General features: G+C 45.6%; 2 protein-coding genes across 5 annotated transcripts in view, besides 8 other annotated features; both read left to right on the top strand.

Annotated features, from left to right (window-relative positions):
- Positions 1-15,582, top strand: part of OAS3 (2'-5'-oligoadenylate synthetase 3) — a 34,778-nt gene extending 19,196 nt beyond the window's left edge. The window contains exons 8-16 of one of the 2 annotated variants that reach the window (NM_006187.4): positions 3,402-3,577; positions 4,983-5,233; positions 5,644-5,788; positions 6,566-6,739; positions 8,075-8,360; positions 9,749-9,924; positions 10,267-10,505; positions 11,939-12,086; positions 12,293-15,582. In NM_006187.4, the coding sequence (NP_006178.2) occupies positions 3,402-3,577; positions 4,983-5,233; positions 5,644-5,788; positions 6,566-6,739; positions 8,075-8,360; positions 9,749-9,924; positions 10,267-10,505; positions 11,939-12,086; positions 12,293-12,304 (1,607 nt within the window). In that variant the 3' untranslated portion in view covers positions 12,305-15,582. The remainder of the gene's footprint in view (positions 1-3,401; positions 3,578-4,982; positions 5,234-5,643; positions 5,789-6,565; positions 6,740-8,074; positions 8,361-9,748; positions 9,925-10,266; positions 10,506-11,938; positions 12,087-12,292) is intronic. The other variant, NM_001410984.1, reaches the window with a different exon arrangement.
- Positions 5,272-5,772: an enhancer, noted in NCBI's record as "H3K4me1 hESC enhancer chr12:113400746-113401246 (GRCh37/hg19 assembly coordinates)". NCBI's record gives its function as "activates a minimal SCP1, AML or CMV promoter by ChIP-STARR-seq in naive H9 embryonic stem cells {active_cell/tissue: H9 hESC(naive)}" and the evidence as "EXISTENCE:reporter gene assay evidence [ECO:0000049][PMID:30033119]".
- Positions 5,773-6,273: an enhancer, noted in NCBI's record as "H3K4me1 hESC enhancer chr12:113401247-113401747 (GRCh37/hg19 assembly coordinates)". NCBI's record gives its function as "activates a minimal SCP1, AML or CMV promoter by ChIP-STARR-seq in naive H9 embryonic stem cells {active_cell/tissue: H9 hESC(naive)}" and the evidence as "EXISTENCE:reporter gene assay evidence [ECO:0000049][PMID:30033119]".
- Positions 9,622-9,791: an enhancer, noted in NCBI's record as "experimental_24547 CRE fragment used in MPRA reporter constructs". NCBI's record gives its function as "activates a minimal promoter by MPRAs in K562 erythroleukemia cells, with activity observed for both the introgressed and non-introgressed 12:113405181 variant alleles {active_cell/tissue: K562}" and the evidence as "EXISTENCE:reporter gene assay evidence [ECO:0000049][PMID:34662402]".
- Positions 10,637-10,806: an enhancer, noted in NCBI's record as "experimental_24553 CRE fragment used in MPRA reporter constructs". NCBI's record gives its function as "activates a minimal promoter by MPRAs in K562 erythroleukemia cells, with activity observed for both the introgressed and non-introgressed 12:113406196 variant alleles {active_cell/tissue: K562}" and the evidence as "EXISTENCE:reporter gene assay evidence [ECO:0000049][PMID:34662402]".
- Positions 20,395-21,204: an enhancer, noted in NCBI's record as "active region_7054". NCBI's record gives its function as "activates an Ori minimal core promoter by ATAC-STARR-seq in GM12878 lymphoblastoid cells {active_cell/tissue: GM12878}" and the evidence as "EXISTENCE:reporter gene assay evidence [ECO:0000049][PMID:35858748]".
- OAS2 (2'-5'-oligoadenylate synthetase 2) overlaps positions 20,850-27,241 on the top strand; it is a 33,205-nt gene continuing 26,813 nt past the window's right edge. For all 3 annotated transcript variants that reach the window (NM_002535.3, NM_016817.3, NM_001032731.2), the window contains exon 1: positions 20,850-21,116. In NM_002535.3, coding sequence (NP_002526.2) covers positions 20,940-21,116 — 177 coding nt within the window. In that variant the 5' untranslated portion in view covers positions 20,850-20,939. The remainder of the gene's footprint in view (positions 21,117-27,241) is intronic.
- Positions 21,425-21,504: an enhancer, noted in NCBI's record as "active region_7055". NCBI's record gives its function as "activates an Ori minimal core promoter by ATAC-STARR-seq in GM12878 lymphoblastoid cells {active_cell/tissue: GM12878}" and the evidence as "EXISTENCE:reporter gene assay evidence [ECO:0000049][PMID:35858748]".
- Positions 21,675-21,754: an enhancer, noted in NCBI's record as "active region_7056". NCBI's record gives its function as "activates an Ori minimal core promoter by ATAC-STARR-seq in GM12878 lymphoblastoid cells {active_cell/tissue: GM12878}" and the evidence as "EXISTENCE:reporter gene assay evidence [ECO:0000049][PMID:35858748]".
- Positions 21,865-22,014: an enhancer, noted in NCBI's record as "active region_7057". NCBI's record gives its function as "activates an Ori minimal core promoter by ATAC-STARR-seq in GM12878 lymphoblastoid cells {active_cell/tissue: GM12878}" and the evidence as "EXISTENCE:reporter gene assay evidence [ECO:0000049][PMID:35858748]".

The raw sequence follows: 27,241 nt of genomic DNA on the forward strand, positions 1-27,241 counted from the left end.
CTCTTCTGGCTTGTAGAGTTTCTGCCGAGAGATCTGCTGTTAGTCTGATGGGCTTCCCTTTGTGGGTAACTCGAGCTTTCTCTCTGGCTGCCCTTAACATTTTTTCCTTCATTTCAACTTTGGTGAATCTGACAATTATGTGTCTTGGAGTTGGTCTTCTCGAGGAGTATCTTTGTGGTGTTCTCTGTATTTCCTGAATTTTAATGTTGGCCTGCCTTGCTAGGTTGGGGAAGTTCTCCTGGATAATATCCTGCAGAGTGTTTTCCAACTTGGTTCCATTCTCCCTGTCACTTTCCGGTACACCAATCAGACATAGATTTGATCTTTTCATATAGTCCCATCTTTCTTGGAGGCTTTGTTCATTTCTTTTTACTCTTTTTTCTCTAAACTTCTCTTCTCACTTCATTTCATTCATTTGATCTTCAATCACTGATACCCTTTCTTCCACTTGATAGAATCGGCCACTGAAGCTTGTGCATGCATCACGTAGTTCTTGTGCCATGATTTTCAGCTCCATCAGGTCATTTAAGGTCTTTTCTATGCTGTTCATTCTAGTTAGCCATTCGTTTAATCTTTTCTCAAGGTTTTTAGCTTCTTTGTGATAGGTTTGAACATCCTCCTTTAGCTCGGAGAAGTTTGTTATTACCAATTGTCTGAAGCCTTCTTCTCTCAACTCATCAAAGTCATTCTCCATCCAGCTTTGTTCCATTGCTTGCGAGGAGCTGCGTTCCTTTGGAGGAGAAGAGGCGCTCTGATTTTTAGAATTTTCAGCTTTTCTGCTCTGGTTGCCCCCCATCTTTGTGGCTTTATCTACCTTTGGTCTTTGATGATGGTGACGTACAGATGGGATTTTGGTGTGGATGTCCTTTCTGTTTGTTAGTTTTCCTTCTAACAGTCAGGACCCTCAGCTGCAGGTCTGTTGGAGTTTGCTGGAGGTCCACTCCAGACCCTGTTTGCCTGGATATCACCAGTGGAGGCTGCAGAACAGCAAATATTGCAGAACTGCAAATATTGCTGCCTGATCCTTCCTTTGGAAGCTTCGTCTCAGAGGGGCACCCAGCCATATGAGGTGTCAGTCGGCCCCTACGGGGAAGTGCCTCCCAGTTAGGCTACTCGGGGGTCAGGGACCCACTTGAGGAGGCAGTCTGTCCGTTCTCAGATCTCAAACTCCATGCTGGGAGAACCACTACTCTCTTCAAAGCTGTCAGACAGGGACGTTTAAGTCTGCAGAAGTTTCTGCTGCCTTTTGTTCAGCTATGCCCTGCCTCCAGAGATGGAGTCTACAGAGGCAGGCAGGCCTCCTTGAGCTGCAGTGGGCTCCACCCAGTTCGAGCTTCCCAGCCACTTTGTTTACCTACTCAAGCCTCAGCAATGGTGGATGCCCCTCCCCTAGCCTCGCTTCTGCCTTGCAGTTCAATCTCAGACTGCTGTGCTAACAGTGAATGAGGCTCCGTGGGCGTGTGACCCTCCGTGCCAGGTGCAGGATATAATCTCCTGGTGTGCCGTTTGCTAAGACCATTGGAAAAGCACAGTATTAGGGTGGGAGTGTCTCGATTTTCCAGGTACCATCTGTCATGGCTTCCTTTGGATAGGAAAGGGAATTCCCCGACCCCTTGCACTTCCCAGGTGAGGCGACGCCCTGCCCTGCTTCGGCTCATGGTCCGTGGGTTGTACCCACTGTCCAACAAGCCACAGTGAGAGGAGTGAGAGGAACCCAGTACCTCAGTTGGAAATGCAGAAATCACCCATCTTCTGTGTCACTCACGCTGGGAGCTGTAGACTGGAGCTGTTCCTATTCAGCCATCTTGGAACCTCCTCTCTGGATTTCTTTTTAATTTGTCCTCTTTGAAATGTGCTGTCCCTCCTGAATCTGAGAGCTCAATTCTTCCTTTAGTTTTAGGGAGAGGTCTTCCAATAGCTCTTCAAATACTGCCTCTCCCCTATTTTGTCTATTCTCTACTTCTGGAACTCCTGTTAGATGGTTTCTTATCTCATCCTCCATGGCTTTTCATCTCTCTCATTGTTCCCATCTCTTTGTCTATCAGGGCTGTCTGTTTTTCAGTTTCTTGGACCTGTCTTCTGGTTTATAAACTCTATTCAAATAATGTCTACTCTGCTGCTTATCCTTAATTTTTTAAAATTTCAGTGACTTTTTCACCTCTAAAAGTTATGTTTCTCTCTTTCTTAAATCAATCAGTTATTTGTTCATAGGCTTCGATTCTTTCACTGTGGTTTCAGTTTCTTTGATGTCTTCAATAATTTCCAACATGCTTATTTTAGTGTCTCAGATTGTCCTATTAACTCAAATTCTTGAGGTGCTAATTTTCCTATTTGTTGTGTCACCTGACTCTCCCTCATGGTCAATCATTTCCTCATATAGTTTGTAATTTTTTATTGTGAACTCATCTTTGGGGTTTGTGGAGATTTTGTTGTCTTTGCTTTTCCTGTGGAAGTTCCTTGTGCCCTGGGTTGGAGAAATATTACCCTTGGGACCAAGTTTTCACTTCATTTCTACCTGGACTCCAAGAGTTTCACTAATTCCCAGGCTAGATTATGCATTAATTTAACAGTCTGGGATTTCCTCACCATGCAGATACTGTAAATTTGGACTTCACATCCACATCTAGCACAGGATCGGGGTCCCAGTTTCTCACAGGGGATTTTCTTTTTTCCCCCACCCAGAGCCCTAGCAGCAAGCTTCCTTGAAGCCCCTCTCTGCCAGTGGACAACCTTTTGCAGTCACTTTTCATGAAGAAGGCATTTATTTTAGAGGCCAGCCTTATGAAAGTGAAGGACAAGACTCAATTGTAGCTTCCTCTCTGTGTCTTGTTTTTCTTTTTCTGGAAGATAACGTTAATAATAGCAATAATTACTGCTTATTGAGCATATGATGTATTCTACATACTGTTCTAAGCACTTCACATGTAGATTTCAATTGATTCTTACAATAGCCTTAGAAGGATAGGTGCTATTTATGATCTCCCTTTTACAGATGAGGAAACTAGACCCGAAGAGGTAAAAATCACACAGCTTGGATTTGAACCCAGGCTTATCTGTCTCCAAAGCTCACTCCTTTAACCACTATGTGACACAGCTTTTCTGGCTCAAGATTATCCATCTTTCAGCTTTCAGGGAAAATTTAAAAAACAAAAAATAAATAGAAGATTATCCACTGTGCAGTTACTGGATGGATTAGCAAAAAATATTGAAAAGCATCCAGTACAGAATTGATACTGAAAAAATGATAGCTCTGATTGTTATTCAATGTTATAGTGTATTATTGATTGCAATGTTAGGTGATTAATGTTAGAATATTCATAAAGGCTGGTGAATGGATGGGTTGGTAAATGCTGCTGTCTTCAATTGGAGTTGCACACTCAGGGTGTTTCAAACTTCTACAGGGCAGCTCAGTTCTGGCACCAAACCAAATCCCCAGGTCTACTCGAGGCTCCTCACCAGTGGCTGCCAGGAGGGCGAGCATAAGGCCTGCTTCGCAGAGCTGCGGAGGAACTTCATGAACATTCGCCCTGTCAAGCTGAAGAACCTGATTCTGCTGGTGAAGCACTGGTACCGCCAGGTGAGTTGCCCCTGGCTCCTCCCAGGAAGCCACCACTGTCATGGCAACCACCCCAGCCAATCAGTTCCTCCTCTACACCCACATCTCCCCTCCTTTGCTTCTTATTGGTCATCCAGAGCAGAAGGACCGGCCTCCTCCATCCTCCATTTCCTGCCCAGATCTGGAAGCCACTGTTAGAAAAAAATCTCTTCTCCATCAAGTCTAAAGTCTTCATTTCTTGTACCTGGGGTTCACTTTAGCCCATCCACTTCTCTCTTTTGACACTGCAAATGTTTTCTCTGTTTTTCCCCCACCTCCAAGCCGTTGCTTATGATATTACCCCCACCACATGTCTATTTTTAGAAAAGAAAACTCCCCTTTCTGGAAGCCTAGAGCTGGCAATGACCACCATATGGTAAGGGCCTGTCCAAGACAGAAAAACCAGAGCACTTGAACAGAAAAGATCTGAACAGAAAAGCTGATGACTCCTTATGGGCTTCTGGATCAAGCTGTGCCTGAAAGCAGATCTACTCCAAGGCTTTTGGGTTACATCAGCCAATACATTCTTTCATAGCCTTTTTTTTTTTTGAGAAAGTGTCTCCCTTTGTCATCCAGGCTGGAGTGCTGTGGCACAATTACAGCTCGCTGCAGCCTCGACCTTCTGGGCTCAAGTAGTCCTCCTGCCTCAGCCCCCGTAGTAGCTAAGACTACAGGCATGCACTACTACACCTGGCTGATTTTTGTACTTTTTGTAGAGACAGGAGTCTTACCATGTTGCCCAGGTTAGTCTAGAACTTCTGGGCTCAAGTAATCCACCCACCTTGGCCTCCCAAAATGCTAGAATTACAGGCACAAGCCACCATGCCCCAGCCTTGTTGCCTCTTTTGAGTTGCACTAAATTCTGAACATCCTTCGGAGCTCCCTTACTAAATACTTCTCTGAATTCTGACTTGTATTCATGCATCCCTATATTCAACAAACATCTATCGAGCACCTGCTATTTCTAACTTGTGATGGACACTGGGATACCAAGATGGATACATTGCAGCCCCTATTCCTGTACAACCACCCCATGTTATGTGATTAATGTTAAAATATTCCTAAAGGCTGCTGATGGATGGATTCGTCAATGCTTCCGTCTTCAATTAGAGTTACACACTCAAGATGTTTCAAATTTCCAATTTCCTTGAGGGGAGACACTAGGCAAAAGCCACGTCTGAGCTCTCAGTCTCACTGTATGACCTTAGACAAGTCACTACCCTCCTCTGAACCTCAGTTTACCCACCTGTAAAATGAGAAGCATCAGCAAGTTTCTATTCTTTCTGCGCTTCTATTTTCTATATTCCCTTCCTGCCCCAAGTGCTTATGGCCACACTCAGCTCACATCCACTAATCACTCATCTTTGGTTGGCCTTGTGTGACACAGGTTGCGGCTCAGAACAAAGGAAAAGGACCAGCCCCTGCCTCTCTGCCCCCAGCCTATGCCCTGGAGCTCCTCACCATCTTTGCCTGGGAGCAGGGCTGCAGGCAGGATTGTTTCAACATGGCCCAAGGCTTCCGGACGGTGCTGGGGCTCGTGCAACAGCATCAGCAGCTCTGTGTCTACTGGACGGTCAACTATAGCACTGAGGACCCAGCCATGAGAATGCACCTTCTTGGCCAGCTTCGAAAACCCAGGTGAAGACCCGCTTCCCTTTGCCTGGCTTCATTATCCTCCCCCTCCCCACTGTCACCCTGGAGTCAGTCATCCAGGAGGAGTCCAAGGTAGGGTTTGGGGTGGCAATCCCACTCCTCACTCTGCTTCCCTCTGGACTCTTTGCTGAGGAAGTGTGGACATAAGGAGTCCCAAAAGAAACCAGGGCCAGTTTTATTAGCATGATAAAATAGTATTTCTCAGTTGAAGGGGCCACCCAATAGCTTTCCAACCAAGGCAGCCAATTGAGATCGCTTCTGCACTTGGGCAAGACTGAGCCAACCCTGAGGTCCTGACACTCTTTCCAGCCCTCACGCCCCTTTTCAGCCCTTCCACCCGCCTCCTCTTTCACTGACTCCCACCTTCCCCACCCACCTTCCTGCTGTGCCCCCAGACCCCTGGTCCTGGACCCCGCTGATCCCACCTGGAACGTGGGCCACGGTAGCTGGGAGCTGTTGGCCCAGGAAGCAGCAGCGCTGGGGATGCAGGCCTGCTTTCTGAGTAGAGACGGGACATCTGTGCAGCCCTGGGATGTGATGGTAAGATGGAGGGTCCTGGGGGGCAGGGGGCCCTGCACCCTGCCTTCTAGTCAGGTTCCCTTAACCTGCCGGTGCACCCATCCCCAGCTGCTAGGAGTGTTGGTGGCTGACAACTCATAGCCACCCCTTCTCTGGAGACTTGCCTTTCATGAAATGCACAGATTGCTACGTCCCAGCCAGTGCCTGAGTGACACAGGGTTACAAAAAGCCTAACTCTGTCTCCAGGCGGAACCGATTCTGTGATGCAACTCACGTTCCAGCGCTCCCTGTGGAATCAGGCAAACACTTGTCTCCGGCTGAGCACCCAGCTTTGCTGAGCCTCTTCTCTGCCCTCTGCTGCTGTCCTTGTTCCACTTCTCCTCCAAGCACTGCCCCAATTAATCATATGCACAAGAATTCCTGCCATGGACCCTGCTTCTAGGAAAACTGAGACATAAGCCACTTGCAGCTCCCAAAAGGATATGATTTTATCACATTTACTATTTTGCAGCAGGGTCTCATAACCAGCATTTAATACTCAGGACAATCCATTGAGACCCGGACTTCATTATTGCACTCATTTAAACATGGGGAAACTGAGACTGTGTATTGATGCTGGAACCAAAATTCAATCTCAGGTCCTTCTGATGCTACCTCAGAACCTACCCACCAGCTGAGAAGGAAAGAGGGACATGGGAGACAGTGGGAGTCTTGTCCTCAGAGGACATCAAGGGGCAGGGCTTGGGTGAGCACTGGGAGTCCCGTCTCAAGCTGGCCCCACCTGGATTCTCTCTGCAGCCAGCCCTCCTTTACCAAACCCCAGCTGGGGACCTTGACAAGTTCATCAGTGAATTTCTCCAGCCCAACCGCCAGTTCCTGGCCCAGGTGAACAAGGCCGTTGATACCATCTGTTCATTTTTGAAGGAAAACTGCTTCCGGAATTCTCCCATCAAAGTGATCAAGGTGGTCAAGGTGAGTCCTCAGAGAGCTGTAGGCAAGCAGTGTCCTGCAAGCTGGTGATCTCTCCCAGCCCAGGGCCAGGCTTGACCCACTTCCGCCCTCGTAGCAAACAGCAAAAAGCCAGGCATAGAGAAAGAGCTGGAAAGTGGTCATGGGAGGATGGCAGAGAGAGGGCCCAGATATGTCCAACAAGTCTCTTTTGGTTGCTAGTGACACCTAACTCAAAAGACACAACAAAGGAATGTATTGACTGATGTAACTGGAAAGTCCTGGGTAGGGCTGCTTACCGGCATAGCTAGATCCAGGAGCCCAGGCAGCATCATCAGGACTCAGTTTTTCTCTCCAGTTCTCGGTTCTGCTTTTTAATGTCTTGGATAGGCCCTTAACATATGGTGGTCTTTGGCAGCTCTAAGCTTCCAGAAAGGGGAACTTGTTTTTTCTTAAAATTCAAATAAAAGTCTTGGAATTGAGTCTCATTGGCCTGGCTTGGGTAACCTACCAACCCCCAAACTAGTTACTGGGGCTAGGGAGACATTATGCTCTGGATGGCCAAGACTGGGTCACATGGTGAAGTGGCCCCCGCCTAGTCCTCATGGGCTGAGTGTGGGGTAGGAGTGGTCCCTCCAAAGAACACCAGGATGCTGATCCCAGGTGGAAAGGACGCTGGGGGTGTACAAAAGGTCACACTGTCCACGGCCCTGGATACAGCCTCAGTCCACAGTTGGAGAGACAAGTGAGACCCAGATCAGCTCAGAAAGAGTGTTAGCATAAAGCCAGCCAGTGAACAGTGCCAGGGATGCTGGTTTGCTGTGTGACCATAGGCATGTACCTTCCCCTCTCTGATCCTCACGTTCCTGATTTCTAACACTTGAGGAGAGTGGCTTGGATCACTGGCTCTCAACTCTGGCTCCCCTGGCTTGACCTTGGAATTACAGTTTTTTAAAAATATGCTGATGCCCAAGCCCCAACCCAGGAAAACTTAAATCACAGTCTTGTGGGGTGGGAGCCAGCCATTAGTCGTTGGTAAAAGCCTTCCAGGTGCAGACAGGCTTGGGAGCTGCAGGCCCAAAAAACCAACCAACAAACAAAACACTTCTCAAATCCTCTCCAGTCACAAAACATGATGGAATGAGAAATTTTGCATTTGTTGAAGGGTTTAAACTTACCTCTTGCACGCTTCTTTTTCTTACAATCTTAAATACAGTCTTTCTTACCATATTAAAGATCTAACACAGAGAGGTTAGATGACTTGTCCAAGGTCACACAGTAGGTTTTCTAACTCACAGTCCAGAACCGACAGGCTAAGCCATGCTTCAAGGGTTGAGCCACCTGCCATGTCCTCTCCAGGGTGGCTCTTCAGCCAAAGGCACAGCTCTGCGAGGCCGCTCAGATGCCGACCTCGTGGTGTTCCTCAGCTGCTTCAGCCAGTTCACTGAGCAGGGCAACAAGCGGGCCGAGATCATCTCCGAGATCCGAGCCCAGCTGGAGGCATGTCAACAGGAGCGGCAGTTCGAGGTCAAGTTTGAAGTCTCCAAATGGGAGAATCCCCGCGTGCTGAGCTTCTCACTGACATCCCAGACGATGCTGGACCAGAGTGTGGACTTTGATGTGCTGCCAGCCTTTGACGCCCTAGGTGAGGTGCCCTGGCGTAGACCTGAGAGGGGGAAATACAGAGGCAGGGCCGCCATGGGCAGTTGTAGAGGTTGCACAGTACACAACCAGGCCACATCTGTTCGCATCATTGCAGGCATTGTAGTTGTGTATGTTCATCACAACTTTCCTGCAAAGTATCTAAAGAAGAGGGCCCCTTTTTCTAATTTGCGCAGGCACTCTGTGGGCTAACAGTGGCCTCAAGCTGGGTTCCAGTCTGAGCAATTCCACCAACATGCTGGATGACCTTGAACAAGGGACTTCCCCGTCCTGAGCCCCAGTGTCTTTATCTCACATCTGACAGTAAGGACACTGATGTTTCTTGCACATTCCCAGCTTTGAATGGTTTGTGTGCCACCCACCTCCTCCACCTGCTGCAGATCCATTCATTCAGTTCATTCAATACATGCATCTACTCTGTGCCCAGTGCTCTTCCAGGCACCAAAAATAAAGCCTTGAACAAAATAGACACAACTCTCTTCATATCTTTTCAACTCTCAGTTTGATTAGCAGTTTTCAGAGTGAGAAATTCCCTTGTATCCGAATTTATTTGGTTTCTGAGTTTGAGGGAGCAGGTGGCCAAGGGAGGGATTCATGCAGAATTTTTTTTTAAGAGACAGGGTCTTACTTTATCACCTGGCCTGGAGTGCAGTGGCACCATCATGACTCAATGCAGCCTCAAACTCCTGGGCTCAAGTGATCCTCCAGCCCCAGCGTCCTGAGAAACTGGGACTACAGGTGCACACCACCACACCTGGCTAATTTATAGAATTTTTTGTAGAGATGGGGATATGACTATGTTGCCCAGGCTGATCTGAAACTCCTGGCCACATATGATCCTCCTGCAGTGGCCTTCGAGAGTGCTGGGATTACAGACGTAAGCCACTGCACCCAGCCCAGAAATTTATCTGAATCTACTCAGTTCTTCAGTTCAGAGAGCAAGAATTTGGATATTAAGGAATGCCTTTAAGTGCAATGTAACCAGAATGGTGATGTCAACTCCATACACAGCTCTGTTACCTGCAGGAGGATGTAAGACTGAGGCCTGCCCTCCCTCGGTTAGACAGAAAGATAAGTAAGTATTAGAGAGGTGTTAAAGACAGGCTAGCTCCCAGCTGAGACTTTTTCCAAGATAGGTAAGCAGATGGTTTGAAAGGGAGCAGAAAAGGGAGGATGACTGTCACCAGGGATTTAATGTGGATCAGGCCACATCTGTGTTCCACCTAAAAACACCCTGTGGCCTCCCAGTGGATCCCAGACCACCCTTAGGAAAACACCCAAGAGGTAGGAGATCTCAGAAGTCCTTTCTAAGTTGGCCCCACTGGGACAACATGGGAGCCGGAGTGATGGTAACCATCTCCCCATCTCCAGGCCAGCTGGTCTCTGGCTCCAGGCCCAGCTCTCAAGTCTACGTCGACCTCATCCACAGCTACAGCAATGCGGGCGAGTACTCCACCTGCTTCACAGAGCTACAACGGGACTTCATCATCTCTCGCCCTACCAAGCTGAAGAGCCTGATCCGGCTGGTGAAGCACTGGTACCAGCAGGTTCGGCACATGGATAGGCCACCTTCCTAAGTTGCCCTGGGATCTGCCTCTGGAGCACTTTCCTGGGAGGAAGCAGGGCCCAGCCCTGGCCAAGATCCTGGGTTGGTGGAGCAGAGCAGAAAGAGTGCTATATCTCAGCTGTGGGACCTTAGTTTTCTTATCTGTAAGATGGGGGTGATAAAACTATGTCACAGGATGTGATGGGATAATGCATGGCAAGGCATCTGGCACATGTAGGTGCTCAATAAAAGTTTTGGGGTTGCTTTGCCAAGTCCAGAATAATCCCTTCTGTACCTCATCAGTGCCAATATGAACCAACATATCTTTCTTCTCGTTCTCCAGTGTACCAAGATCTCCAAGGGGAGAGGCTCCCTACCCCCACAGCACGGGCTGGAACTCCTGACTGTGTATGCCTGGGAGCAGGGCGGGAAGGACTCCCAGTTCAACATGGCTGAGGGCTTCCGCACGGTCCTGGAGCTGGTCACCCAGTACCGCCAGCTCTGTATCTACTGGACCATCAACTACAACGCCAAGGACAAGACTGTTGGAGACTTCCTGAAACAGCAGCTTCAGAAGCCCAGGTTCAGGTCTACCCCCAATGTTCCAGAATTTCAAACCTGGGATCACTCACTCTCCCCACTTTCTAGATTGCAGAGCAGAGATGGGAAAACACTCTTCCTAGAACGGATTCCTTCCTAGAAGTTATATTTGTAGTACCTGAGGGACAAACGGTCAATTTTCTGGTCACCCAGGAATAGGGTTGCCAGATAAAACGCAAGACCCCAAGTTAAATTTGAATTTCAGATAAACAATGAATAACTTCTTAGTATAAGTATGCTCGATGCCATATTTGAGACATAATTACGCTTAAAAATTTATTCACTGTTTATCTGAAAGTCAAATTTAACTGGGCATCCTGGTTTTTTGTTGTTGTTGTTGTTTGTTTGTTTGTTTTTGTCACCCAGGCTGGAGTGCAATGGCGCGATCTTGGCTCACTGCAACCCTCCGCCTCCCGGGTTCAAGCAATTCTTCTGCCTCAGCCTCCTGAGTAGCTGGGACCAGAGGCGCATGCCACCAGGTCCAGCTAATTTTTGTATTTTTAGTTGAGACAGGGGTTTCACCATGTTGGCCAGGCTGATCTCAAACTCCTGGCCTCAAGTGATCGCCTGCCTAGGCCTCCCAAAGTGCTGGGATTACAGGCATGAGCCACTGTGCCCAGCCTTGTATTTGTATTTGTTAAATCTGACCACCCTACCTGTGAACCCACCCAGGTGCCATAAGCATGTTTCATTCTTTGGGATTTTGCCTACCTCTGAAATGGGTACAGAGATAATAGAGATGCTTTTGCAAACTCAAGATGCATCTCCAGTCAGTGGGGAGTGGCTACTTAGAATGATGTGTTGAAAAAGCTTCTAAGGTTGTGATTTGACTCAGCTGGAAAGAGTAGGCTAACCAGCTAGTAGTGTCCAAAGGTTGAGCATCCCAAATGCAAAAATTCAAAATCTGAAAATGGCCCAGAATTTGAAGCTTTTTGACCACCAAAAAATATGCTCAAGGAAAATGCTTATTGGAGCATTTTGGATTTTCAAATTAGGGATTCTTAACTGGTAAGTAAGGCAAAGGTCCAAAATCTGAAAAAATTTGAAGTCCAAAACACTTCTGGTCCCAAGCATTTTAGATAAGAAATACTCAACCTGTATCATGGATGCAGGAGGGGAGAGTTGTGGAACCAGTGTTGTGATTGATTAACAATGCCTCCCCTGAATAAGGAAGGGGTAAGCGGTAGCACCGTGGTTGATTAGTAATGTTTGCCTGAATGCAGAATGGCAAAGTGGCCATGTGTGTCTTATTTTCTATACCTGCCCTGTAGTGTATAGGAGCACTGAGGAATCTCTGAGCCCTGGCTCTAGCCCCTGCAAAGTGTTAGATAAAAGGGGAAAATAGTCCAACCAGTGCCACAGGTGGACACCTAGATGTTGCCAGGAATAAGACTGTCCCTGGGTGGGAATTGCAGGCCTATCATCCTGGATCCGGCTGACCCGACAGGCAACCTGGGCCACAATGCCCGCTGGGACCTGCTGGCCAAGGAAGCTGCAGCCTGCACATCTGCCCTGTGCTGCATGGGACGGAATGGCATCCCCATCCAGCCATGGCCAGTGAAGGTGAGAGATCTGTGGTGCCAAAGGAAGTACCCTTTAGGGGTAAGGGGGGAGCATGGTCAGGGGAGGGACATGATTCCCACTAAAGGGGCAGGGCCCAGTGATGGCCCCAGGTATGCCCCTGTGCTTCCATTTTCCCATCCGGCTGTGTGGTCTCAGCTTCTGCAGAAAGAATGGGGTTACCAACATCTCTTATAATACTTCCCCAGGCTGCTGTGTGAAGTTGAGAAAATCAGCGGTCCTACTGGATGAAGAGAAGATGGACACCAGCCCTCAGCATGAGGAAATTCAGGGTCCCCTACCAGATGAGAGAGATTGTGTACATGTGTGTGTGAGCACATGTGTGCATGTGTGTGCACACGTGTGCATGTGTGTGTTTTAGTGAATCTGCTCTCCCAGCTCACACACTCCCCTGCCTCCCATGGCTTACACACTAGGATCCAGACTCCATGGTTTGACACCAGCCTGCGTTTGCAGCTTCTCTGTCACTTCCATGACTCTATCCTCATACCACCACTGCTGCTTCCCACCCAGCTGAGAATGCCCCCTCCTCCCTGACTCCTCTCTGCCCATGCAAATTAGCTCACATCTTTCCTCCTGCTGCAATCCATCCCTTCCTCCCATTGGCCTCTCCTTGCCAAATCTAAATAGTTTATATAGGGATGGCAGAGAGTTCCCATCTCATCTGTCAGCCACAGTCATTTGGTACTGGCTACCTGGAGCCTTATCTTCTGAAGGGTTTTAAAGAATGGCCAATTAGCTGAGAAGAATTATCTAATCAATTAGTGATGTCTGCCATGGATGCAGTAGAGGAAAGTGGTGGTACAAGTGCCATGATTGATTAGCAATGTCTGCACTGGATACGGAAAAAAGAAGGTGCTTGCAGGTTTACAGTGTATATGTGGGCTATTGAAGAGCCCTCTGAGCTCGGTTGCTAGCAGGAGAGCATGCCCATATTGGCTTACTTTGTCTGCCACAGACACAGACAGAGGGAGTTGGGACATGCATGCTATGGGGACCCTCTTGTTGGACACCTAATTGGATGCCTCTTCATGAGAGGCCTCCTTTTCTTCACCTTTTATGCTGCACTCCTCCCCTAGTTTACACATCTTGATGCTGTGGCTCAGTTTGCCTTCCTGAATTTTTATTGGGTCCCTGTTTTCTCTCCTAACATGCTGAGATTCTGCATCCCCACAGCCTAAACTGAGCCAGTGGCCAAACAACCGTGCTCAGCCTGTTTCTCTCTGCCCTCTAGAGCAAGGCCCACCAGGTCCATCCAGGAGGCTCTCCTGACCTCAAGTCCAACAACAGTGTCCACACTAGTCAAGGTTCAGCCCAGAAAACAGAAAGCACTCTAGGAATCTTAGGCAGAAAGGGATTTTATCTAAATCACTGGAAAGGCTGGAGGAGCAGAAGGCAGAGGCCACCACTGGACTATTGGTTTCAATATTAGACCACTGTAGCCGAATCAGAGGCCAGAGAGCAGCCACTGCTACTGCTAATGCCACCACTACCCCTGCCATCACTGCCCCACATGGACAAAACTGGAGTCGAGACCTAGGTTAGATTCCTGCAACCACAAACATCCATCAGGGATGGCCAGCTGCCAGAGCTGCGGGAAGACGGATCCCACCTCCCTTTCTTAGCAGAATCTAAATTACAGCCAGACCTCTGGCTGCAGAGGAGTCTGAGACATGTATGATTGAATGGGTGCCAAGTGCCAGGGGGCGGAGTCCCCAGCAGATGCATCCTGGCCATCTGTTGCGTGGATGAGGGAGTGGGTCTATCTCAGAGGAAGGAACAGGAAACAAAGAAAGGAAGCCACTGAACATCCCTTCTCTGCTCCACAGGAGTGCCTTAGACAGCCTGACTCTCCACAAACCACTGTTAAAACTTACCTGCTAGGAATGCTAGATTGAATGGGATGGGAAGAGCCTTCCCTCATTATTGTCATTCTTGGAGAGAGGTGAGCAACCAAGGGAAGCTCCTCTGATTCACCTAGAACCTGTTCTCTGCCGTCTTTGGCTCAGCCTACAGAGACTAGAGTAGGTGAAGGGACAGAGGACAGGGCTTCTAATACCTGTGCCATATTGACAGCCTCCATCCCTGTCCCCCATCTTGGTGCTGAACCAACGCTAAGGGCACCTTCTTAGACTCACCTCATCGATACTGCCTGGTAATCCAAAGCTAGAACTCTCAGGACCCCAAACTCCACCTCTTGGATTGGCCCTGGCTGCTGCCACACACATATCCAAGAGCTCAGGGCCAGTTCTGGTGGGCAGCAGAGACCTGCTCTGCCAAGTTGTCCAGCAGCAGAGTGGCCCTGGCCTGGGCATCACAAGCCAGTGATGCTCCTGGGAAGACCAGGTGGCAGGTCGCAGTTGGGTACCTTCCATTCCCACCACACAGACTCTGGGCCTCCCCGCAAAATGGCTCCAGAATTAGAGTAATTATGAGATGGTGGGAACCAGAGCAACTCAGGTGCATGATACAAGGAGAGGTTGTCATCTGGGTAGGGCAGAGAGGAGGGCTTGCTCATCTGAACAGGGGTGTATTTCATTCCAGGCCCTCAGTCTTTGGCAATGGCCACCCTGGTGTTGGCATATTGGCCCCACTGTAACTTTTGGGGGCTTCCCGGTCTAGCCACACCCTCGGATGGAAAGACTTGACTGCATAAAGATGTCAGTTCTCCCTGAGTTGATTGATAGGCTTAATGGTCACCCTAAAAACACCCACATATGCTTTTCGATGGAACCAGGTAAGTTGACGCTAAAGTTCTTATGGAAAAATACACACGCAATAGCTAGGAAAACACAGGGAAAGAAGAGTTCTGAGCAGGGCCTAGTCTTAGCCAATATTAAAACATACTATGAAGCCTCTGATACTTAAACAGCATGGCGCTGGTACGTAAATAGACCAATGCAGTTAGGTGGCTCTTTCCAAGACTCTGGGGAAAAAAGTAGTAAAAAGCTAAATGCAATCAATCAGCAATTGAAAGCTAAGTGAGAGAGCCAGAGGGCCTCCTTGGTGGTAAAAGAGGGTTGCATTTCTTGCAGCCAGAAGGCAGAGAAAGTGAAGACCAAGTCCAGAACTGAATCCTAAGAAATGCAGGACTGCAAAGAAATTGGTGTGTGTGTGTGTGTGTGTGTGTGTGTGTGTGTTTAATTTTTAAAAAGTTTTTATTGAGATACAAGTCAATACCATAAAGCTCTCACCCTTCTAAAGTGTACAATTCAGTGGTGTGAGTATATTCATAAGATTTATACTTGGTGTCTATTCATAAGACTTATATCCAGCATATTCATAACTAGAGCCATATCACAGATGCATTCATCATAATAATTCCAGACATTTTCATCACCCTAAAAGGAAACCCTGAAACCCATTAGCAGTCATTCCCCATTCCTCCAACCCATTCTCTCCCTAATCCCTAGAAACCACCAATCTGCTGTGTATTTCATCTATTGCCAACATTTCATATAAATGGCATCATACAATATGTGGCCTTTTGTGTCTGGCTTCTTTAACTTAACATGTTTTCAAGATTCATTCATGTTATAGTATATGTTGAGGTTTCATTCCTTTTTATTTCCGAAAGACATTTCCACTGCATAAATTGACTACATTTTGTTTATCCATTCTTCCATTGATAGGTATTTGGATATTCTCCACTTTTTTGCTATTTTGCTGCATTTTTTGCTATTATGACTAATAGCTGCTATGGACACTCTTGTATGAGATTTTGTGCAGACATATGTTTTCATTTTTCTTACGTATAAAAGGCGATCCACAATTGATGACCCCATCATAAGTCAAGGAGCATCTGTGTGCTGTATTAATCAGAGTTCTCCAGAAAAACCAAACCATTAGAATAGAGGAAGAGATATATAAAGAGATTTATTATGAGGGTTTGACTTGTGTGATTATGGAGTCTGAGAAGTTTTGTGATCCACCGTCTGCAAGCTGGAGACTCAGGAAATCCAGTGGTTGTAGTTTCAGACCAATTCAGAAGGCTGAGAACCAGGAGATTGCTGGAATAAGTCCCAATCCAAGTATGAAAGCCCAAGAACCAGGAGCATCAATATTCGAGTGCAGACGACAGATGCCTCAGCTCATGCAGGGAGAGAAAATTTGCTGTTCCTCTTTTTGTTCTATTCAGGCCTCCAGTGGATTGGAAGATGCACACTCACCCTGGTGAGGGCTGTCTTCTCTACTCAGTCTACAGATTGAAATACTAATCTCTTCCAGGAACATGCTCACAGGCACATCCAGAAATAACATTTTACCAGCCATCTGGGCGTCCCTTAACCCCGTCCAGCAGACACATAAAATTAACCCTCATGTATACCTAGGAGTGGAATTGCTGGATCACGTGATAACTCTATGTTTAGCCATTTGAGAACTGCCAGACTGTTTTCCACAGTGGCTGCACCATTTATACACACCCACCCCTGGCAGTGAATGAAAGTTCCAGTTTCTCTGTATCCTTGCCAACACTCATTGTCCATCATGTTGATTATAGCCATCCTAGTGGGTAGATGAGAAAGTGATGATATGCTGTCAAAATTATCAGGTCTGCTCAATGTGGTCAGGACCCTACATGGTAAAAAAGAATAGGGCCCTGACACATAGAATGGGAACATACAGGTTGATGCCACTGAGAATCTTTTTTTTTTTTTTTTTTTTTTGAGACAGTGTCTTGCTCTGTCGCCCAGGCTGGAGTACAGTGGCACAATCTTGGCTCACTGCACCCTCCACTTCCTGGGTTCAAGTGGTTCTCCTGCCTCAGCCTCCCGAGTAGCTGGGACTACAGGCACATGCCACCACGCCTGACTAATTTTTGTGTTATTAGTAGAGATGGGGTTTCACCATGTTGGCCAGGCTGGTCTTGAACTCCTCACCTCAAGTTATCTGCCCACCTCAGCCTCCCAAAGTGCTGGGATTACAGGCAAGGGCCACCACCCCGGTCCCACTGAGAATCTTGAATCCTCAGATTCCTCTGACTCCTAGAGCTGTAAAAGTGACCTATCCATCCCTCCCTGTTAAGAGCTAACCCTCCTCCCTTGCTTGGAAACCCTATAGAGGCATCCACAAGACGTTTGTCCCTGTGCCCACCTCCTCTCCTGCCCACAAGGGTTGTAACTAGGCTTAAATTCCAGCATAAACAAGCCAGGGATGTGACGGGCCTCATAGGGGAGGAAAGGGCCTATATCCCAAAGTAGCTGGAGGGCCAAGCCAGCATGACCAGCAGAAGTCGGGTGAGTTTGTGCAGGAGTCAACCTTGAGGGTGCTCGATCAGGGGGCTGCAGTGTGAGGTCAGATAGGAAAGGGTTTATTGATTCGGAAGTCCTTTGGGAGTTCAGGGCTGCACACCCAGGCAAGGACTCCAGGAGAAGGTGTAAACTTGCTGCCAGGAGGGCTCCTAGAAGACGGGAAAAAGTAGGAGGCCATGCTAAGTGAGATCCAAATGCCAGAATTGCCAGGGGAGACGGTGGCAGATGCGATGAAAGGTCAGGGAAGTGGCAATGCTTGGGAAGGCTGCATAAGGCCCAGGGAGCCAGAGGCGACGATCTTCCATGGAAAGGCCAAGATTCCCCTTTACCAAGTCCACGAGGAATGGACCAGGAAGAGAACACCAGCCAGCATCACAGAGAAGCTCAGAAAGCCTCCTCTGCAGGAGATGCCATCACAGGATGGTGGGTGAGGCCCCTTGGGAGCTAGGCTCACTGATAGCAAAAGGGATGGTGGAACCCTGGAGTAAGAGAGGCCAGGAGATGGCACCCATTAGGGGACACAGTGCTCACCATGAGTGGTAGGGCCCAGGATTGGCCAGGAGGGGCTGGCCTGCAGAACATGGAGATGACCCTTAAATCTTGGTGTTCATAGGGACAGACTAGATGGGCCACAAGCAGGCAGCTACTCAACTTACGCCATCAAAATACCTCAAGAATGAACGCCGAGGAAACTTCCCCCAGTAAAAACATCACCATTGCTTTCCTAGTGGGCTTCCCAGGAAACACGTCTGTCACATACGTCAGCTAAATGTCATGTGTGAGCCTAGATGTTGGCGGGGGTGCGGATGCTATAAAGAAGAGTATTGGAATCGTTGGTAAATTTTTCAATATAAGAATGTATTTATGGCTGGATGCAGTGGCTTACACCTATAATTCTACCACTTTGGGAGGCCGAGGCAGGCAGATCACTTGAGCCCAGGAGTTCGAGATCAGCCTGGGCAACATGGTGAGACCCTACCTGTACAAAAAAATACAAAAATTAGTCAGACATGGTGGTGTGTGCCTGTGGTCCCAGCTACTCAGGAAGCTGAGGCAGAAGAATCGCTTGAGCCTGAGAGGTTGAGGCTACAGTGAGCCGAGATTGTGCCACTGCACTCCAGCCTGGGTGACAGTGAGACTCTGTCTGTCTCAAAATATATATTTATACAATATTTATATAATAAACGTATATTTATTATATATGTTATATAAATTATATATTATATAAATTATACAAAATTATATTTATTATATATGTTATGAGATGATAGCATTGTATCAATGATAAAAGTCTGAATTGGACCATTGTTCTGTGCTTCTGTAACACAATATTCTTGCTCTTAGGAGATATAGGTTGAAGCATTTAGGAGTAAAGGGACATAAATCATGCAACATGCATTCAAATGGTTCAGGAATAAAAATACTCATGAAGGGCTGGGCGTGGTGGCTCAGGTCTGTAATCCCAGCACTTTGGGTGGCTGAGGTGGGAAGATCGCTTGAGGCCAGGAGTTCGAGCCCAGCCTGGGCAACATGGTGACATCATGACCCCCATTTCTACCAAAAAATTTTAAAAATTTAGCCAGGCATGGTGGTGCATGCCTATAGTCCCAGCTACTCAGGAGGCTGAAGTAGGAAGATTGCTTGAGCTTGGGAGGGTGAGGCTACAGTGAGCTATAATCACGCCACTGCACTCCAGCCTGGGTGACAGAGTGAGACTCTGTCTCAAAAACAAAACAAAACAAAAACCTCCTAAAATGTATAAATAGCAAGAAAATGAGGGGCAAATGTGGTAAAAAATATAATGGCTAAAAAGTCTAAGGAAGTTCTTTGTGTGCATCTTGTAAATTTTCTCAGCATTTCAAATTACTTCAAAATAAAGTGTTTTTTTAAATAACAAATAAAGCACAGGCTTTGGAGTCAGGCAGTGTGTTAGTGTGAGAACCTAGCCTGACAACTTCCTAGCTGTGTGATCACGGGCAAATGTTTCCACCTTTGTGAGCCTCCATGTTCTCATCTGAAAAAGGAACCTTAGGACTACGCCTGCCCAGCCTGCCTACCTCTCGGTGTTGCAGTAAAAGTTGGATAAGGGCAGGAAAGGCCCTTAATGAGCATGTGCATTAATCGAGGTTTTTCCAGAACTAACAGGGTATTTATATTTATTTTGAGGTATTTATTTTAAGGAATTGGCTCATGTGATTGTGGAGGCTGGCAAATCCAAAATCGGCAGGGTAGACTGGCAGGTGGGAGACCCAGGAAGGAGTTGCTGCTGCAAGTGGAGGCCAAGGCACTGCAGCCGAATTCCCTCTTCCTTGGGGGAGCTCAGTCTTTAGTCTATTAAGGCCTTCAACTGATTGAATCAGGCCCACCACCTTACAGATGATAATCCACTTTACTCAAAAAAAAAGTCTACCAATGTAAATGTTAATCTTATCTTTAAAAAATACCTTCACAAAAAGATCTAGGATAATGTTTGACCAAATATCTGGGTACCTGGGCTCAGCCAACTTGACACATAAAATTAACCATCCCAGTATGGAAGGGCCCTGGTCCCCCACTACATCTTGGAGATTTTTGCCTTCTCTGTGAATTATTATTGCTGGGCCAAGGCAGCTGGCTGGGAGTCCTCTGCGAGTTTTGTTTTCAAAGCTCTGGGCACAGGAGTTGCATGTCTGTCTCCTTTCTGGCTCACACACTTGGGGTGTGTTTTCTTGCCCTTGCGAGGCTGGACAAGTGCCTCATACGGTCCCTCGGCTGTCCACAAGTGTGCTGAGAAACTGGACACACAGAGGTTCCCACCCGCTGACCACACGGGGGCCTGTGTTTACCCAGAAGCAGACCAAAACCTGAGTCCAGCTAGGTCCCTGCTTTGCTGTGTGTCCCTGAGCAAGTCAGTTCCCTCTCTGGGTCTCTTTTTCCTCTCTGCCGCTTTCCCTGAATGTGAGTTCCCTGGCCACTGAGAACAGGGGGAAAGGGACAGAGCCTCAAAAGATGACCTGTGCGCCCCTGCTTCTAAGCACTTTGCAGGTATTATTTAATCATCAAGCTAATCCTACGAGAGAGCTGCCATTTTCCCCCAGCTTACAGATGGGGGAATTGAGGCGCGAAGAGGGCAGGCGATGTGCTCAAGGACAGACATCTAGCAGGTATGAAGCCCTCACAATGGGGTTCTAGAGGCTGTTTAGTTAACCTCAAGTTTTGGGGAGCCCCTGAAGGGCTGGTCACCACGCTGCCGGGGACAGGGAAAGCCTCTGAGCTTGAGTCAGTTTTGGTTTCCCTGCTGGGGTGCAGGAGTCAGTAAACCTTGCTGCAAGGGGCGGGGAAGAGCATTTGAGCTTAAGTTAGTTTTGGTTTCCCTGCCCCGGATGCAGGAGTTGGTAAACTCACTGCAAGGGGCAGGGCAGAGCCTCTGAGCTTAAGTTAGTTTTGTTTCCCTGTCCCGGATACAAGAGTTGGTAAGCTCGCTGCAGTGGGTGGAGAGAGGCCTCTAGACTTCAGTTTCAGTTTCCTGGCTCTGGGCAGCAGCAAGAATTCCTCTGCCTCCCATCCTACCATTCACTGTCTTGCCGGCAGCCAGCTGAGAGCAATGGGAAATGGGGAGTCCCAGCTGTCCTCGGTGCCTGCTCAGAAGCTGGGTTGGTTTATCCAGGAATACCTGAAGCCCTACGAAGAATGTCAGACACTGATCGACGAGATGGTGAACACCATCTGTGACGTCCTGCAGGAACCCGAACAGTTCCCCCTGGTGCAGGGAGTGGCCATAGTGAGTCCAGGGCTGAGGTTGGGTCTCTGGGAGGCAGGAGATTCCACGGCGGCAGCAAGGCCGAGCTACTGGGTGCTGGGTGCCTATTATGTGCGAGGCCCACACTTGGGTGGGATGTGGTGTAGGAGTCTCAGGCTCTGGAGCAGGCGCTTGCTCCAGAGCTGTGTGACACTGGGCAGGCTACTTAACCTCTCTGTGCCTCAGTCTCTGACTCTGTAAAATGGGGAGAGGCATAATACCCACTTCAGAGTATCGTAAGGCTTGAGCACATCATGTTCTTAGCAAAAGACTGGCAGTGCTCAGTGAATTCACTGTGATTACTCACTGCGATTTTCTTCTATCCTCTCCACAGTACAGAGGAGTAAACTTAGGGAGGCTAGAGAACTTTGTTCAAACTACCCAGGTTGCCTTGTGGTTTCTCCGCAGCAAGAAGGAGTGGCTTTTATCAGTTAGAAATATTTGGTTTTGTGGACACAAATCTCAGGACTGAGGCTGAAAATTCTGGACCTCTGGGGAGGAAGGGGGACTGGGGAGATGCCAGGACCCTAGAATTGGGGGCGTGGGGGTCCTGATGGCCCAATACTATCCTCTTAGCCTCCTGAGCTGCTGACGTCCCTTCTCTGCTGCTGCCACACTTTTTGGTCTCTACCCCTTGCACACATCCGCTAGTGCCTCAATAAAGAAATCTAGACACGTGGTGTCCCCAGCCCTGGCCCAGGCCAGCAAGCTAAGGCAAGTTTGGTTAATAGCTATTGTCAGAACTGGGATTTTAAGCCTGGGTAATTGGCTTGAGGGCATGCATGTTTAACCACTACACTATCCTGCCTCTCAATTTTTTTTTCCTCATGGAAGTAAAACAGAAAAAGTGCCCAGATCAAAGTGTCCAGCTTGATAGGTAGCCACAAACAATGTAACTGTGTAACCCCCACCCAGATCCAGAAACAAAACATTCTCAGCCCCCCAGAGCCCTGGGCCCCCGATCCAGTCAGCACCTCCAAACCCAGGTAGGCAATCTCCTGACTTCTAACAGCATAGACACGTTTTGCCTGTTTTTAAACGTTTTACAATTATAGGGTGACCAACTATCCCAGTTCATCCAAGATTGGGGTGTTTCCTGGGATGTGGGACTCTTGGTGTGAAAGCTGGGAATGTAAACCAGGATGCATGGGTGAACCCTACATAAATGGCATCATGGGCTCTGTGTGCTTTAGTGCGTGGTTTCTCTGACCTATGATGTTTATGAAATTTATGTTGTGGGGTACAGTTGTTTATCTTTTCATTGTTGTGTCAATTCCATTATGTGAATATTCCACATTTGTCCATTCTACTGTGTTTTTTTATTTTTACATAATTGTGCATATTTATATGGGGTACATGTGATATTTGGACACATGGATACAATGTGAAATGATCAGGGTAGTTAGGATATCCATCACCTCAAACATTGATCATTTATTTGTGTTGAGAACAGTTCAGATCTTCTCTTCTAACTATTTTGAAATATATAATAAATTATTGTTAACTATAGTCACCCCATTGTGCTATCAAACACTAGAATTTATCCCTTCTATCTAACTGTATGTTTGTATCCATTAACCAACTTCTCTTCATTTCCTCCTCTACTTCCCAGCCTCTGGTAACTATGATCCTACTCTCTACCTCCATGAGATCAACTTTTTTTAACTTCCACATAAACACATGCAATATTGTCTTTCTATGCCTGACTTATTTCATTTAACATAATGACCTCTAGTTCCATGCACATTGCTGCAAATGACAGAATTCCATTCTTTTTGTGTCTGAATAGTATTCTATTGTGTATATATACTACATTGTCTTTATCCATTCAGCTGCTGATGGATACGTTGGTTGATTCCATATCTTGGCTTTTGTGAATAGTGCTGCAATAAACATGAGGGTGCAGTTATCCCTTTTTTGGATAAATACCTAGTAGTGGGATTGCTGGATTGAATGGCAGTGCCATTTTTATTTTTTTTAGAAACCTCCATACTGTTTTCCGTAATGACTGTGCTAATTTACATTCCCACCAACAGTGTGTAAGATTCCCTTTACTCCAAATCCTTGCTAGCGTTTATTTTTTGTCTTTTTGATAATAGCTATTCTAACTGGGGTGAGATGGTATCTCATTGTGGTTTTGATTTGCATTTCCCTAGTGATTAGTGATGTCAAGCATTTTTTCATATACCCATTGGCCATTTTGTATGTCTTCTTTTGAGAAATGTCTATTTAGGCCCTTTGGCTGCTTTTTAATGGGATGGGTTGTTTTCTTTGCTGTTGAGTTGTTCACGTTCCTTGTATATTCTGGATATTAAACCCTTGTTGGAAAAATAGTTTCCAAATATTTTCTCCCATTCTACAGCTTGTCTTTTCACTCTTGATTGTTCCCTTTGATGTGCAGAAGCTTTTTCATTTAATATAGTCCCAATTGTCTATTTTTTGTTTTTGTTGCCTGTGCTTTTGAAGTCTTAGCCACAAAATACTTGCATAGACCAATATCATGAAGCATTACTCTTCTGCTTTATTCTATTAATTTTATCATTTCAGGCCTTATGTTTAACTCTTTAACCCATTTTTAGTTAATTTTTTATAAGATGACAGACGGGGGCCTAGTTTCATTCTTCTACATATGGATATCCAGTTTTCCCAACACCATTTATTGAAGAGAGTATCCTTTCCCTAATGTGTGTTCATGGTGCTTTCTCAATCAGTTGGCTGTAAATTTGTGGATTTGTTTCTGGGTTCTCGATTCTGTTCCTTTGGTCTATATGTCTGTTTTTATACCAATCCCATGCTGCTTTGGTTACTATAGCTTTGTAGTATATTTTGAAGTCACGTAGCATGATGCCTCTAGCTTTGTTCTTTTTCCTCAGTACTATTTGGCTATTTGAGATCTTTTGTGTTTCCATACAAATTTTAGGATTGTTTTTTCTATTTCTGTGAAAAAAAATGTCACTGGTATTTATAAGGATTGCATTGATTCTGTAGATTGCTTTGGGTAGTATGGTTATTTTAACAATATTAATTCTTCCAATCCATGAGCATGGGATGTCTTTCCATTTGCTTGTGTCACCTTCAGTTTCTTTTATCAGTGTTTTGTAGTTTTCACTGTAGAGATCTTTCACTTCCTTAGTTAAATGCATTCCTAGGTATTTTTGTTAAATACTATAAGATTGCTTTCTTGATTTCTTTTTCAGCTAGTTCATTACTGATGTGTAGAATATGTTGGTATTTTGGTATGTTGGTATGGTATGTTGATTTTGGTATTTTGATTTTGTATCCTGCAACTTTACCAAATTTATCAGTTCTAAGAGGTTTTCTTGGTGGAGTCTTTAGGTTTTTCTGTATAGAAGATCATATGGTCTGCAAAGAGGGGCAATTTGACTTTTTCTTTTCCTATTTGGATGCCTTTTATTTCTTTATCTTTTGGGATTGCTTTGGCTAGGACTTCCAGGATACAGGCTGAAAGCCTTTCCCAATTCAGTATGATGTTAACTGTGGGTTTGTCATATATGGACTTTATTATGTTGAGGTATGTTCCTTACATGCCTAATTTGTTGAGGGTTTTTAGCATAAAGGGATGTTGAATTTTACCAAATGTTCTTCTACATCTACCAGGATAATCATATGATTTGTCCTTCATTATGTTGATGTGATGTGCAAATGTTCAACATTTGTTGACTTGCTCATGTTGAACCATCCTTGCATCCCTGGGATAAATCCCACTTGATCATGTGTTATCTTTTCGAAGTATTATTGGATTTGGTTTGCTAGCATTTTGTTGAAGGTATTTGTATCTATGTTCATCAGGGATATTGGCCTGTAGTTTTCTTTTTTGTTGTGTCTTTGGTCTAGTTTTGGTATCAGGGTAATGCTGACTTCATAGAAGTGGTTAGGAGTAATTCCCTCCTCTTCAATTTTTTTGGAATAGTTTGAGAAGAATTGGTGTTAATTCTTCTTTATAAGTTTGGTAGAGTTCAGCAGTAAAGCCATCTAGTCCTGGGCTATTCTTTGTTGAGGAGTTTTTTATTACTGATTCAATCTACTCACTCACTATTGGTCTGTTCAGGTTTTCTGTTTCTTCCTGGATCAATCTTAGTAGGTTGTATGTGTTCAGGAATTTATCCATCTCCTCTAGGCTTTCCAATTTGTTCACATGTAGTTGTTCATCATAGTCTCTAATGACCCCTTTTATTTCTGTGGTATCAATGGTAATGTCTCCTTTTTTATCCCTGATTTTATTTTACTTGGGTCTTCTCTTTTTTTAGTCTATTTAGTCTAAGTAGCGGTTCATCCATTTTGTTTATCTTTTTAAGAAACCAACTTTTTATTTTGTTAATTTTTAGCCTCTATTATGTTTAGTTCTGTTCTGATTTTTATTATTTCTTTCCTTCTACTAATTTTAGGTTTGGTTTATTCTTGCTTTTTTGTTTGTTTTTGAGATGGATTTTTGCTTTTGTTGCCCAAGCTGGAGTGCAATGACGTGATCTCAGCTCACTGCAACCTCTGCCCCCTGGGTTCAAGTGATTCTCCTGCCTCAGCCTCCTGAGTAGTTGGGATCACAGGCATGCACCACCACGCCCGGCTAATTTTGTATTTTTAGTAGAGACGGGGTTTCACCATGTTGGTCAGGCTGGTCTCAAACTCCTGACCTCAGGTGATCCACCCGCCTCAGCCTCCCAAAGTACTGGAATTTCAGGTGTGAGCCACTATGCCTGGCTTTTCTTGCTTTTCTAATTCCTTAAGATGAACCGTTAGGTTGTTTATTTGAAATTGTTCTACTTTTTTTGATGTAAGCATGTATTGCTTCAAACTTTGCTGTATCCCTTAGGTTTTGGTATGTTGTGTTTCCATTTTCATTTGTTTCCAGAAATTTTTTGATTTCCTTTTAAATTTCTTCATCAGCCCAGTGGTTGTCCAGGAGCGTGTTGTTTAATTTTCACGTATTTGTACAATTTCCAAAGTTCCTCTTGTTCCATTGTGGTCTGTATCCATTGTGGTAAGTATCCATTAAGATACCTGACAGTATTTCAATTTTTAAAAATTTGTTGAGCCTTGTTTTGTGACCTACCATAGGGTCTATCCTGGAGAACATTCCCTGTGCTGATAAGAATGTGTATTCTGTAGCTGAATAAATAATCTGCAAATATTCATTAGGTCCATTTGGACTATAATGCAGACTAAGTCCAGTATTCTTTGCTGAATAAATAATCTGCAAATATTCATTAGGTCCATTTGGACTATAATGCAGACTAAGTCCAGTATTTCTTTGCTGATTTTCTGTCTACGTGATCTGCCCAATACCAAAAGTGAGATGAAGTTCCCAGCTATTACTGTATTGGCAGTCTCTCGGTCTCTGTTTAGCTCTAATATTTGCTTTACATATCTCAGTGCTCTACCGTTGGGTGGTCATACATATGTGTATAAATATACATATACATATATATGTCTATATACATATATACACATACTTATATCCTCTGGCTGAATTGATCTCTTGATCATTAATTATAAAATGACCTTCTTTGTCTCTTTTTATGTTTTTGACTTAAAGTCTACTCTGTCTGATATAAGTATAGCTACTCCTGCACACTTTTGGTTTCCATTTGTGTGGAATATTTTTTCCATTCCTTCACATTCAGTCTATATGTATCTTCACAGATGCAGTGAGTTTATTGGAGGCAGCATATAGTTGGACCTTATTTTTTATCCATTCAGCTTGTCTGTATCTTTTAACTAGAGAATTTAAACCGTTGTTAAATTCAGGGTTGTTATTGATAGGTAACAACTTACTCCTGTCATTTTGTTATTTGTTTTGATTGTTTTGTACATTCTTTGTTCTTTTCTTTCTCTTTATTGCCTACCTTTCCAATTGTTGGGGGTTTTGTAATGATAACATTTGACTCCTTTCTCTTTGTCATTTGTGTATCTGCTCTACCAGTGAGTTTTATACTTTTGTGTGTTTTCATGATGGTAGACATCATCCCTTTGCTTCCAGATGTAACACTCTCTTAAGCATTTTCTGTAGAACTAGTCTAGTGGTGATGAATTCCCTCTGTTTTTGCTTGTCTGGGAAAGACTTTGTTTCTCCTTCATTTTTGAAGGAT

The sequence above is a fragment of the Homo sapiens genome, chromosome 12, assembly GCF_000001405.40.
Source record: "Homo sapiens chromosome 12, GRCh38.p14 Primary Assembly".
Classification (NCBI taxonomy): Eukaryota; Metazoa; Chordata; class Mammalia; order Primates; family Hominidae; genus Homo; species Homo sapiens.